At 48.3% G+C, this 13037-nt stretch overlaps 1 long non-coding RNA gene across 1 annotated transcript in view, besides 8 other annotated features; it reads right to left on the bottom strand.

Moving 5' to 3' along the window:
* FAM167A-AS1 (FAM167A antisense RNA 1) overlaps positions 1-13037 on the bottom strand; it is a 70256-nt gene that overhangs the window by 18460 nt on the left and 38759 nt on the right. The gene's annotated exons all lie outside the window — the stretch shown is intronic.
* Positions 2029-2098: an enhancer, noted in NCBI's record as "active region_27006". NCBI's record gives its function as "activates an Ori minimal core promoter by ATAC-STARR-seq in GM12878 lymphoblastoid cells {active_cell/tissue: GM12878}" and the evidence as "EXISTENCE:reporter gene assay evidence [ECO:0000049][PMID:35858748]".
* Positions 2707-3206: an enhancer, noted in NCBI's record as "H3K4me1 hESC enhancer chr8:11274501-11275000 (GRCh37/hg19 assembly coordinates)". NCBI's record gives its function as "activates a minimal SCP1, AML or CMV promoter by ChIP-STARR-seq in primed H9 embryonic stem cells {active_cell/tissue: H9 hESC(primed)}" and the evidence as "EXISTENCE:reporter gene assay evidence [ECO:0000049][PMID:30033119]".
* Positions 3130-3359: an enhancer, noted in NCBI's record as "active region_27005". NCBI's record gives its function as "activates an Ori minimal core promoter by ATAC-STARR-seq in GM12878 lymphoblastoid cells {active_cell/tissue: GM12878}" and the evidence as "EXISTENCE:reporter gene assay evidence [ECO:0000049][PMID:35858748]".
* Positions 3130-3708: a biological region, named in NCBI's record as "H3K4me1 hESC enhancer GRCh37_chr8:11273999-11274500".
* Positions 3207-3708: an enhancer, noted in NCBI's record as "H3K4me1 hESC enhancer chr8:11273999-11274500 (GRCh37/hg19 assembly coordinates)". NCBI's record gives its function as "activates a minimal SCP1, AML or CMV promoter by ChIP-STARR-seq in primed H9 embryonic stem cells {active_cell/tissue: H9 hESC(primed)}" and the evidence as "EXISTENCE:reporter gene assay evidence [ECO:0000049][PMID:30033119]".
* Positions 8404-8698: an enhancer, noted in NCBI's record as "tiled region #7548; K562 Activating non-DNase unmatched - State 12:CtcfO". NCBI's record gives its function as "activates a minimal TATA promoter and a strong SV40 promoter by Sharpr-MPRA in K562 cells {active_cell/tissue: K562}" and the evidence as "EXISTENCE:reporter gene assay evidence [ECO:0000049][PMID:27701403]".
* Positions 11939-12458: an enhancer, noted in NCBI's record as "H3K4me1 hESC enhancer chr8:11265249-11265768 (GRCh37/hg19 assembly coordinates)". NCBI's record gives its function as "activates a minimal SCP1, AML or CMV promoter by ChIP-STARR-seq in naive H9 embryonic stem cells {active_cell/tissue: H9 hESC(naive)}" and the evidence as "EXISTENCE:reporter gene assay evidence [ECO:0000049][PMID:30033119]".
* Positions 12459-12979: an enhancer, noted in NCBI's record as "H3K4me1 hESC enhancer chr8:11264728-11265248 (GRCh37/hg19 assembly coordinates)". NCBI's record gives its function as "activates a minimal SCP1, AML or CMV promoter by ChIP-STARR-seq in naive and primed H9 embryonic stem cells {active_cell/tissue: H9 hESC(naive and primed)}" and the evidence as "EXISTENCE:reporter gene assay evidence [ECO:0000049][PMID:30033119]".

Below are 13037 nucleotides of genomic sequence, written 5' to 3'. Positions count from 1 at the left end.
AGTGGCGCAGGAGGTTTTATAGGGTTTTTGAATGATACGTGATCTGATTTAAACTTTCATAAGATCGAAGTAGAAAGTACTGTGTAGAGAGTAAGTGGGGAGGAGGGGCAAAGGGGAGCCCAGAGGGCAATTAGGGGCAGGGACAGAGGACGTGAGTGTGATCTAGATGGGGCAGCAGCTGCGGAGGGGATGAGGAGTGATCTGATGGGTATTTGCTTAGGGACATCTTTGGGGACATACTTTGGGGACAATTTGGATGTGGAGTGTGAAGGAAATGGAGGACCTAGAGATGGCCCTCCTGCTGGCAGTTGGATGAAGAGGCAGAGGGGTGGCAGCAGTGGTGCTGGTTCACGGTATATTTAAATGTCAATTTAATACAAGTGGGGAGTGCGTTGGACACAGGGCCTGGAATTCAGGGAAAAGGCCCATGTTGGAGACACAAATTTGGGAGTCTGGATTCAGATGTTTAGATAATATTAAAAGTATCATACCGGCCGGGCACAGTGGCTCACGCCTGTAATCCCAGCACTTTGGGAGGCCTAGGTGGGTGGATCATGAGGTCAGGAAATCAAGACCATCCTGGCTAACGTGGTGAAACCCATCTCTACTAAAAATACAAAAATTAGCCAGGCGTGGTGGCAGGTGCTTAGTAGTCCCAGCTACTTGGGTGGCTGAGGCAAGAAAATCACTTGAACCTGGGAGGCGGAGGTTGCAGTGAGCTGAGATCGCACCACTGCACTCCAGCCTGGGCAACAGAGCGAGACAGTCAAAAAAAAAAAAAAAAAGAAAAAGAAAAAAAAAAACCTCTACCTGGGTAAACTCAGGAAAGGAGTGTAGGAGAGAAGAGGGCTGCGCACGGCAGCCTCGGGACTCCAGTGTATGTTTATTCATTTATTTACTTTCACTGGATATTGACAAATTCTAATTGTATATATTTATGATGTACAAAATGTTGCTATATGTACAATGTGGAATGATTGAAACAAGCTAACTAACATATCCATCACCTCAAATGCTCATTATTTATTCCTCCTGCCTAACTGAAACCCTGAACCCTTGGACCAGCACATCCCCACGCCCTGCTCCCAGCCTCAAGTCCCCTATTCTGCTCTCTGCCTCTGTGAGTTAGCTTGCTTTCGAGTCTATGTGGAAGAGTGAACATGCAGTCTGGGTACCCTGACATTTAAATATCTGACAGAGAAAGAGGCATGGTCAAAGGGTACTTAGGAAAAAAAGGTAGCTGTAGACCAAGCTACTCGGGAGGCTAAGGTGGCAGGATCACCTGAGCCCAGGAGGTTAAGGCTGCAGTGAGCTGAGATTGCTCCACCGCACTTCCAGCCTGGACAACAGAAGGAGACCTTGTCTCAAAAAACAAACAAAAAGAAAACTAAAAACAAAGCAAAACAAAAAATCCAGCTAGTAAGGTAGAAGGAAAAGCAGCTGGACAGGGCATCCGGCAGCCTTCAGGAAGAAACTGTTTGAAGGAGAGAGTCGTCTACACCAGCGCTGCTAAGACATCAAGGAAGAAGAGGACAGAGAGGTGGATGCTGGCTTCAGCAAGAGGGAGCCCCTCCTCCACCGTGATGGCAGTGATGGGGGAGATGGCCATCTCAGCTCAGTGGTAAGGCCAGGGTTGAGGAGGAGGCAGGAGATAAAGGCCACCTTGCTGCATCCATGTGCCATAAAGGGAGCAGAGACAAGGAGCTGGACAAGGACATAGATAAGGTCCAGAAAGTGGCTTGTGGTTTTCTCATAACGTCGTATAATATAATGAAGGTGTTGTCATGTGAGATAGGTCAGTGCCTGCTGAAAGAGAGACGATGTGCACAGGAAAGAGGGCAGCCACAGCACTTGCAGCTCTGGAGGAGGGGAGAGAACCCCCGGCAGAGTGCGAGTGGAGACCCGGCTCAGAGAACAGGACCAGGCACTTCCTCCTTGAGGCAAGAAGGCAGGGTGCAGCTAAAGGGGTGCCCGTTACTGTCAGGGACATTGGAACCAGGGCGACTGCGGCTCAAACAGGCTGGGGGAAATGAGGCTGAGACCTGCTGGGCTGCATCCCCAGGAAGTTAGGCATTCTTAGCCACAGGATGAGATCGGAGGTCGGCACAAGACACAGGTCACAAAGCCCCCGTAGATAAAACAGGATGTGGTGAAGAAGCCAGCCAAGACCCACCAAAACCAAGAAGGCAATGAAAGTGACCTCTGGTCGACCTCACTGCTTATTATTTGCTAATTATAATGCATTAGCTGCTAAAAGACACGCCTACCAGCCCCGTGACAGTTTACAAATGCCACAGGCAAAGGCCAGAAGTTACCCTACATGGTCTAAAAAGGGCAGGAACCCTCTGTTCCATTCCAGGATTTCCCCACCCCTTTCCCAGAAAATCCATGAATAATCTATCCCTTGTTTAGCATATGATCAAGAAATAACTAGAAATATGCCCATTCAAGCAGCCCCCGCCTGTGGAGCAGCCATTCTTTTCTTTCTTTCTTCATAAATGTGCTTTCACTTTACTCTGTGGATTCACCCCAAATTCTCTCTTGTGCGAGATCCAAGAACCCTCCCTTGGGGTCTGGATCAGGACCCCTTTTCAATAACAAATCAGTGGCACAGAGGAAGGGAGCCCGTGAGGTCGCTCCTATTTGTCTGTGAAATAGGGAAGTGAGTCGGAGGAGGTGGGATATTGGAGGTTTGCAAAGACATTTTTCAAATAATTACCTGAGAACGGGTGAGTTAATTAGGAAAGCGAAGATGGACCGTCTGGTCTGGTGGCGGGATTGCCCATTTGAGGCTGTGGTCATAAATGTGGGGTGTGTCCAGCAAGCCTGGTGGAGTGATTGATTTTTTCAGCAATATTTAGAAGTTCCAATACAGACAAAGACCAGGCAGACAGTGGGAGATAGGATTTGCCAAGCAGGTGACAGAGAACGGAAACAGCAAAAGTGAATGTTTTTTGCAAAGGAGCAATGTTAGTGTTAGACTGAGTCAGGAGGGAAGGACGACGAGAGGAAACGGGCCGGGAGAGCCAACGGAGCTGGAGGTAGGTGCATGGCCAGTGGTCTCCACGTGACCTGGGGGTTGCTAGGGTGAGTCCAGGAGAGATCAAGACTGAACAGGTGGAGACCAGAGTATGGGGAGAGGGGGAGCGACAGTTCAGATGTGGTGTGGCTTCTTCATTCAGAGACTCGGCCTGCTGCCACATTAGCTGCTGGTGCCCTGCTGAGCGTGGCCAGGTGCCCTGACCCATGGCTGGTGACGTCAAACTGTGGCTTCCTTGGCCTCCCAGAGATCTCGTCTCTCTTATGTTTGGAAAGGGTGTAAACTCCGTTTACACACACCCTTTTGACTTCTCAACAAGACCAGAAGCACTTCCCACTGGCTCCTTCTCCATGTCTAAGCCTGAAGTCTGTGGCCTAGACGACTTGGGGAAGGAGGCAGGCAGAAGAGGAGGAAGTTGGCAGTGACCAGAGCAGACAGGCCTGTGGTAACCAGACCCTATCTGATGGGAGCTGCTCAGCAGATTGAAGGTTTCAGACAGGGCTGTTTTTAAGTACCCCGTTCACAGGCTCAAAGCAAACAGCAAGGGAGACAGCTAGGCGGTCTCCAAAGGAAATTGATTAAGGAAGAGAAACCTCAGATGCGTTGGAACATTTATCATTTCTTTGAGGATACATGCTTGACGTGATGGATATTAATTACCCTGATTTGATCACTAGACACGGAATGCACAGAAACATCACTATATACCCCATAAATATGTACAATTATTATACATCAATTTTTTAAAAATTAAAAGGGAAAAAAGGTGTTTTAGCTAGGCATGGTGGCTCATGCCTGTAATCCCAGAACTTTGGGAGGCTGACATGGAAGGATTGCTTGAGCCCAGCAGTTCAAGACCAGCCTGGGTAACACAGAGAGACCTCATCTCTTTTTGTTTGTTTTTTTGAGACAGAGTCTGGCTCTGTTGCCCAGGCTGGAGTGCAGTGGTAGGATCTCAGCTCACTGCAACCTCTGCCTCATGGGTTCAAGCAATCCTCCTGCGTCAGCCTCCTGAGTAGCTGGGACTACAGGTGTGCACTGCCACAGCTGGCTAATTTTTGTATTTTTGTAGGGATGGAGTTTCACCATGTTGGCCAGCTTGGTCTGAAACTCTTGACCTCAAGTGATCTGCCTGCCTCGGCCTCCCAAAGTGCTGGGATTACAGGAATGAGCCACCATGCCCCACCCTTGTCTATTTTTTATTTTTTAATCATAAAAAAATGAAGGTGTTTGCAGGCTGTAAGAATCCGTCATCCACCACTCGCTGCCAGGAACATTCCCGCCTGCAAGATGGTTACGAGGAAAGTGAGGCTTGGTGCAGCTTTGCAGGACAGTAGGGTATTTCCTGAGCCATTTGTTAAACAGAAAGCCCTGCACTGCTCATTCTCTTACTCCCTTCTCCATGCAAAGACTACTGAAGCTAAGGGGCATTTGCTAAAGAACAGCCAGAGTCCCAAGGGAAACCTGAGTTAGAGATGACAAGCCACACTCCTTGGCTCGCTCCCGGAGACTCACCCACCCAGGTGGTCCTGGCCTAGGCCTGGAGGGAGGGCTTTCAGGGAGCTCACCTCTGCTCCCCCACCCACTGCACTCTCGGCCTCATCTGGGAGGGGTACCTGGGCCTGGAGCAGGACAAATGCGTCTCCAACCTGTCGCCTCTGCACCAGTCTGGGTTTGGTCAATAAAGTGGAAGCCCCCTCAGTCTTCCATGAAGGAAAGGACCTGATTCAGGAACTAAGGGTTCACAGAACCCTTAGAAGGGCGGGGACAGGCAGTGTCCGGGAAGAGGCTGTGAGAAGAGGTGACTCACAGAGCTCATCCCCAAAGTCGCCCGGATTTCACCCAGCTCAGCAGGGGGCCTTTTTTGCACCGCTGTAGCTGGAACGGCTATGGAAAGCTGGTGATTCTCAAGAGGTCTGTCCACACCTCTGCCTGCTGCCACCACCGGGAATAAAGCTTCACTTGCTATTGTGCACTGAATTATGACCCCCAAAAATTCACATGTTGAAATCCTGATCTCCAGCATCTAAGAATGGGACTATGTAAGAGGTAACTAGAGTAAAATGAGGTCATATGGGTGGGTCATAATCCAATCTGACTGACGTCTGCATAAGAAGAGGAGATTAAGACACAGACACTCACAGAGGGACGGCCACATGGAGACACAGGGAGAAGACACCACCTACAAGCTGAGGAGAGAGGCCTGAGAAGGAACCAACCCTGCCAGTACTTTGATCTTGGACCTCCAGCCTCTAGGACTGTGAGAAAACAAATGTCTGTTATTTAAGCCACGCAGTCTATGGTATCTTGTTATGGCAGTCACACCCAACGGGGATATTTGTTTTTCCTCTTTGACCCCTCTTCCTCTCCTCTCTACCCCACCCCCAGCTTTTAAAGCCCCCACCTGGAAGTGACTCATATCATTTCTGCTCACATTTCCTTGGTCTAAACAAGTCAGATGGCCAAACCTGACATCCAAAGTGTGGAGAAGTACCAGCTTAGCCTGGGCCCCCAAGTAGAGGAGAACTGCACTATTTGCAGATGGGATCTTAGTGATTACCTCTCATTCTTCCTCACCCCATCCAGAGTGGACCTGCAAAACCCCATCAGCCTGCAGCCCTAAGGACACCCTGACCAGCAGACTCTGACTTGCAGTGTAGACACGGGGCAGTACCAAGATGATGCAGCATGGAGTGAAAGGAAGAGAAGAGGCCAGGTGCAGTGGCTCCCGCCTGTAATCCCAGCAATTTGGGAGGCCGAGGTGGGAGGATCACTTGAGCCCAGGAGTTCTAGACCAGCCTGGGCAACATGGTGAGACCCTATCTCTACAAAAAGTAGAAAAAATAGCTACCCACATGCCCAGCTACTCAGGAGGCTGAGATGAGAGGATCACCTGAACCTGGGGAGGTCGAGGCTGCAGTGAGCCACGATCACGCCACTGCACTTCAGCCTGGGCCACAGAATGAAACCTTGTCACATGCACGCAAAAAGACGAGAACTTCTATTAATGTTTTAAACCTCTTCTTTTCTGCTTTCAATGTGCTCTAAATATGTATAATATATGGGTACAGACATGTATATTATATAAATCTGTTGGGGAATGCACAAACATTTTCACAGATGGAGGGCAAGTCAGACAAGAGTGAGGCCCGGCCTTTGCCTGCGCCACATTGGATTCACCCCATATCCAAGCCTCAGGCTGTGCCAAACTGGATGAGGGACGATGCTTCCTCATGCGAGGTGGCACGGGCACAGCCTCTGCCCAGTGTCCTACTGCCCCTGTGTGGCCACATATGGCGTCTGCACACACCTGAGTCGCTGGGTAAAAGGCACCATATTTCTGCCAATCTGCTCTGGGCTCTGTTCCCCTTGACAGACCTGTCACAGGACAAACCCCTAAACCGGGTTCAGCCTGGGAGGCCACATGGGTTCTTGGCTTTGCACAGGAAGAAATTCAAGAGTGAGCCGACAGAGTCAAGTGAAAGCAAATGTATTAGGAAAGGAAAGGAATAAAAGAGTGGCTACTCCATAGGCAGAGCAGCCCGGGACTGCTGGTTGGCTATTTCTTTATTGATCATATGCTGAAGAAGGAGTGGATCATTCATGAGTTTTCGAGGAGAGGGGCAGGGAATTCTCGTAACTGAGGGTTCCTCCCCCTTTCAGGCCATATAGGGTAGCTTCCAGGCATTGCCACAGCACTTGTGAACTGTCATGGCGCTGGTGGGAGTGTCCTTTTAGCAGCTAATGCATTATAATTAGCGTATAATGAGCAGTGAGGACGACCAGAGGTTGCCTTTGTTCCCATCTTGGTTTTGCTAGATTTTGATCGGCTTCTTGACCACATCTCATTTTATCAGCAGGGTCTTTGTGATCTGTACCCTGCAAAACAAGCCCTCCCCAACTCCTATCTCAAACCCACAATGAAGCCCATGTCAGAAGCACCAGGGGTAGAAAACAGAAGGTGGGGAGAGAGAGGGGGAGGAAGAGAGGAAGCAAGAGAGAGAGGAAGGGAGAGAGAGAAATGGGGAGAAGGCCAAGAAAGAGAGAAGGTGCAAGAAACAGTGAAACGCAGGAGGTTATTTTTAAGATGGGATATGGTCACCAAATGCAAGCACATGAACCAGCCTTCCTTTCCTGCACTGCCCCCATCTCCCCTTTTCAGAATGTTCTGGTCAAGTCTAAGAACAGGGCCTAGAAATCACAGCTTCTGAGTTTGAGGCTCAGGGGCAGGAGCAGATGCAAGACCCAGCAGCCCTGCAGAAGGCCCCAGTCCCTGACGCCCCATTCCACCACCCAGAGTGGCCTGCCATCACCCATTGTCCATGTGAGCCCAGAGCTAGCTCCAGCCAGGCGGGCGACTGCAGTCCCCTCTCATCTCTGGGCGGGCCCCTGGCAGGTCACCTCCACACAGCACAGCCCTTCAGGGGGCCCAAAGCAGGAAGGCAGGAGGCCCTACTGCCCACTTTCTGCAGGGGACAGAAGGACAGCGGGGTCACCTCCTGGATCCTGGCTCCCATCCAGCCACCTTGCTCTGCAAAGCTGCCTACGTGCTCTCTCTCTCTTTCTGTCTCAGAAAAGACACAGCTGATGGAACCATCATGAAAATGTTGCAGGGCACCCTGAGATGCAGAACTTGATTTCTTTTAAGCAAGAGAATTTGTGTTTAAAAGACTCCAGCCCCTTCTATTTCTAGCAGACGAGACAGTGAGTCTTCCTGAGACAGACGCCAGCATGGCCCCTTTCAGTGAGTGAGAGGAAAGGCAAGTCAGGACTCCTCTTCTTCTGCCGGAGCCAGACCCTCCACTCCCCACTGAGATTGCTAGGGAGGGATGGACAAGTGATTGTATTGGGGCCAAGAAGCCTTCCAGAAGAAAGGGCTCCTGGCTCCTTCCCAGATGAACGCTACTGAAGCATCTCTAACTGCCGGAACGCTGTGATCCCAGACAGGCCAGACTGTGGGACGTGGGTGAGCCCCATCACAGGGGCCATGACACTGGGAACCCAGGCCATGGAGGGGTGACATCCTCCACTTCAAGGGGCAGAGCAGACCTGTGAGGGGCAGCCCCAGGGACAAGCGAGTCTTGGTGAAAAAGGGAGAGGAGAAAGGTTTGTCGTGATGAAATGCGGCTCAGAATTATATCGCATAAAGTATTAGGAGAGGCATGACCTTATGTCGCCCCCGAGCTGCTGGGACACATGACTTAGAGCACGTGTCTCTTAGAGCATCTGGCTCTGCTGTCAGAGCCAGAGGGCTTCAGCAATCAGGGGGGTCTCCTCCTATGACAAGAAGCAGGTCCAGGCGCTGGAGTGGTCGGAACTGTTCATTCGCTCTGCCCTGCAGTGCCTCCTCCACCTACTCCCTGTCAGAGCCACAGTAGAGGAGGTCTGAGAACACATATCTGTCCTGGTCTTGCCCTTCTGCCTCTTAAACAAACGGTTTTTTCACTTTTATCCTGCGGACCCATGGTGTTAAGGAAATCCTAACGCGCCCCCTGCCGGAGACACGGAGATCTCTTTAGAGGTGCATTCTGAGAAACAGTTTGAAAAACGCCCGTGATAGTTGCTTGTGTTCTTGGCATTTGCAATTGCTGTCACTTGCCATGTTTGCTGGAAAATTAAAAGTTCAGATGCTGTTTTCTGCTCAAACCCAAAACCTATGGTTGGAGTGCTCTGTCACAATTCGATTAAATTCTACAAGTACTTTTTAGCATCTAGTACGTGCCAAGCCCGGTATCTGCTCTGGGAAACACAATGACTAGATGCTGAAAATGCATAGAGCGCTTTGGTTTTGCTCATGACATTTAAGCTGAAGTTCATGTTTTATCTTCCTCTGCAACCCAATTCTCTCTCTTTTTTTTTTTTTTTTTTTTTTTTTTTTTTTTTTTTTGACAGAGTCTCACTCTGCTGCCCAGGCTGGAGTGCAGTGGTGCGATCTCAACTCACTGCAACCTCCGCCTCCCGGGTTCAAGCCATTCTCCTGCCTCAGCCTCCCGAGTAGCTGGGATTACAGGCACCCACCACAACACCTGGCTAATTTTTTTTTGTATTTTCAGTAGAGATGGGGTTTCACCATGTTGGCCAGGCTGGTCTTGAACTCCTGACCTCAGGTGATTCACCCGCCTCGGCCTCCCAAAGTGCTGGGATTACAGGCGTGAGCACTGTGCCCAGCCTGGAACCCACTTCTTTATAAAGAAAATAAATAGCCATTATTAGCCTATTAAATTTCTTAATCTGTTACTTTGGGGCTTTCCTTCTAATTTTGAAAAGCTACGGTTCCTAAATAATGTAGCCATTTCCCCCATTACAACTGAAAAGCAAGAAACCCTTACATCTTTCTATCATTTGTTTTCATATATTAAAACCCCCCAGACTTCAGATTTCACCCTCTTGGCTTCACCCCCTTTCAAAGCTCTGGCTTTGGTCTTTATCAGCTTGCAGCTAAAAGCTTGGCTGTCTCTCCAAGAGGGACAACTGTCTGGGACCATTACCAAATGTTCCGGTTTGCCTCTTCAGTCTTCCTGGTGCCCATCTCTGTTGCTGCCTTTCTTCCCATGAATCAGAAGCAAACAGATTACAATCACAAAAGGCCATCTGTTCCTTATAATATAAATTTCCCGGTAACAAATTTTCCCCAATTAGATGTGTCTGAGTTCATCTTGTTATGGTCTTGCTTGCTTTTTATTTTGACCTTTAGGAGAAGATGCCTTTCTGGTTTGCTCCCCTGTCTCCAGATAGCTACCTTCCATGCAAACAACCAGTATTTCTGCACCTTAATTATCCCTGGCAACATGCCAAGACATAAATTACTCCTGTAAGCAAGGTCCCTGTGACAGATTCCTAACAGAGTTTGTATCCCTTTGACACGAAATACTTTTTAAAAAGGATTTCTTAGCTTAATATTAACTCAGGTTCAAGAAATAATGCAACTTATGTCAGTATTTTTTTCAAAACCTGAATAGACAAATGATTGGAACCAAAGAATATACAACAAAAGCCATCTAAGTAACGTCCACATCCTCAGGAGCTGGATGTGTGATGCTCTTTCTGGACCAGTCCAAATGCCAATTTGAAATTAGTTACCAAACTTTAAATTGCTAAGTGTAAACGTATCGTCTGGGGAGCTTTAAACATTTATCTATGCCAGAGTCCCACCCCCGGGCAATTCAGTGAGAGTCCCTGGGCAGGGGGTTTCAGCCATCCATTGACCAGTCTTCTCTCTATCTCTCTCCCTCTACCTATCTCTATTTTAATTTTGTCTCCGCCCCTTTGAACAGATGGTTGTCTTTTCCCATGTATATCCTGACTCCACAATTGGACTGTAAATTTCCTCTTTAGAGTCTCGATACCAATCCCAGCATCCAGAATAGGCAGACCCCTCAATAAATGTGAGAATGATGAGTAGTCTCAGAATTATTTCAGAAGTCTTATCCACCTCAGATATATACAAAAAGTGGCTCTTTTGGTCCTTGGGGTTGAATAGCACTGTTGCATGGTTACAATTGAGCTCAGCCGGAAGTGGACGTTCTAAAGCTGGATGGTGATGTCCCATTATCTGCACCACTGGCCCCCTCTGCTGGCACTTTTTCCGATTGTCCATAGAAAAAGCAAGTCACAAGCAAAGCAAGACTTGGCCCTTCAAGGTGTGGCCAGCCTCCAAGTGTCCTCGGTAGGAAGACATCACACCTGGGTCTTAGGGGAAAATAAATCAGGCTTTGAAACATGAGCTGCCAGATGAAAAGAAAAGTTCTGGTCTTACTGAGTCCTTGAGAGGGGCCAGAGGCATAAGAAGTAAACAGAGGGAGCCCTGTGAAGGTCTTCCTTTCTCTACGCTTCTCTATTTGAAAAATCTACAAATAACTGGAAACAAAAGAGTATACCACCAAATAGCAAATGGTTCAACAGAGATCCAATTAAAAAAAGGAAGTTAGAAAACATTTTAAACTAATTGAAAAATGGCTACATGATATGTTAAAATTTATATTGCAGGTAATACAATGAGTAGAGGGAAATTTGGCTTACATATTTACATTAAAAAGGAAAACACTCTAAAATAAATATTCTACCTTAAGAATTTATGTTAAGAACTTAGAAAAAAAGAGCAAATTAAAACTGAAGTAAGCAGAACTAAGAAAACAAAAATTTTTTTTTTGAGACAGAGTCTCACTCTGTTGCTCAGGCTGGAGTGCAGTAATGTCATCATAGCTCACCGTAGCCTTGAATTCTTGGGCTCAAGCAATCCTCCTGCCTTAGCCTTTGAAGTAGCTGGTATTATAGGCACATGCCATCCCACCAGGCTCATTTTTTATAATTTTTTGTAGTGATGGGTGTCTTACATTATTGCCCAGGCTGGTCTTGAACTCCTAGCTTCAAGCCAACCTCCCATCTCAGCCTCTTAAAGTGCTGGGATCACAGGCATGAGCCACTGTGCCTAGCCAAAAACAATAAATATTAATATAAAAATCAAGGAAATAAAACAGTTAATTGAAAAGGATATAGTTAATTGAAAAGATCAGTAAAAATGCTAAGGCTCTAGCTGCAGTGATCAAGAAAAGAGACACAGGGAGAATACACACACATTACCAATAGCAGGAGTGCAAAGTGATATCACACAGAGTCCTGTAAAAGGCATACTAAGGAAGCATGAGGAAAAACTTGACACCTATATTTAACAACTTGGATGAAATGGAAAAACTCCTTGAGAGACACATGTCTTGGTCCATTTGTGCTGCTATAACAAAATATCTGAGACTAGGTAACTGTTAAAAGAACAGAAATTAATTTATCATGGTTCTGAAGGCTGGGAAGTCCAAGATCAAGGCACCAGCTAACTGGCAAGGGTTCCTCTCCACTTCCAAGATGGAGCCTTAGCCACTGTGTCCTCTTGAGGGCAGGAATGCTGTGCCTCACACAGTAGAAGGTAGAAGGGCAAAAAGAGCCAAATGCTGCATGAAGCTACTTTTTAAGAGCCTTTATCCCATTTATAAGAGAGAGGCCCTCAAGGCCTAATCACCTCTTAAAGGCCTCACCTCTTAATACTATCACATTAGCTGGGGGTGGAGCCAAGATGGCCGAATAGGAACAGCTCCAGTCTACAGCTCCCAGCGTGAGTGACACAGAAGACGGGTGATTTCTGCATTTCCAACTGAGGTACCGGGTTCATCTCACTGGGGAATGCCGGACAGTGGGTGCAGCGCACCGTGCGTGAGCTGAAGCAGGACAAGGCATCGCCTCACCAGGGAAGCGCCAGGGGTCAGGGAATTCCCTTTCCTAGTCAAAGAAAGGGGTGACAGACAGCACCTAGAAAATCAGGTCACTCCCACCCTAATACTGTGCTTTTCCAGCAGGCTTGTCAAGCGGCACACCAGGAGATTACATCCCGCACCTGGCTCGGAGGGTCCTACGCCCATGGAGCCTCGCTCATGGCTAGCACAGCAGTCTGAGATCAAACTACAAGGCAGCAGCCAGGCTGGGGGAGGGGCACCCGCCATTGCCCAGGCTTGAGTAGGTAAACAAAGCGGCCAGAAAGCTGAAACTGGGTGGAACCCACTACAACTCAAGGAGGCCTGCCTGCCTCTGTAGGCTCCACCTCTGGGGGCAGGGCATAGACAAACAAAAGGCAGCAATAACCTCTGCAGACTTAAATGTCCCTGTCTGACAGCTTTGAAGAGAGTAGTGGTTCTCCCAGCACGCAGCTTGAGATATGAGAATGGGCAGACTGCCTCCTCAAGTGGGTCCCTGAACCCCGAGTAGCCTAAATGGGAGGCACCCCCCAGTAGGGGTGGACTAACATCTCACATGGCTGGGTACTCCTCTGAGACAAAAATTCCAGAGGAACGATCAGGCAGCAGCATTTGCGGTTCACCAATATCCACTGTTCTGCAGCCACCACAGCTGATACCCAGGCAAACAGGGTCTGGGTATCAAAAACCCATCTGTACGTCACCATCATCAAAGACCAAAGGTAGATAAAACCACAATGATGGGGAAAAAACAGAGC

Source organism: Homo sapiens, chromosome 8 (assembly GCF_000001405.40).
Source record: "Homo sapiens chromosome 8, GRCh38.p14 Primary Assembly".
NCBI lineage: Eukaryota > Metazoa > Chordata > Mammalia > Primates > Hominidae > Homo > Homo sapiens.
This window is presented reverse-complemented; position numbering and strand designations above follow the sequence as displayed.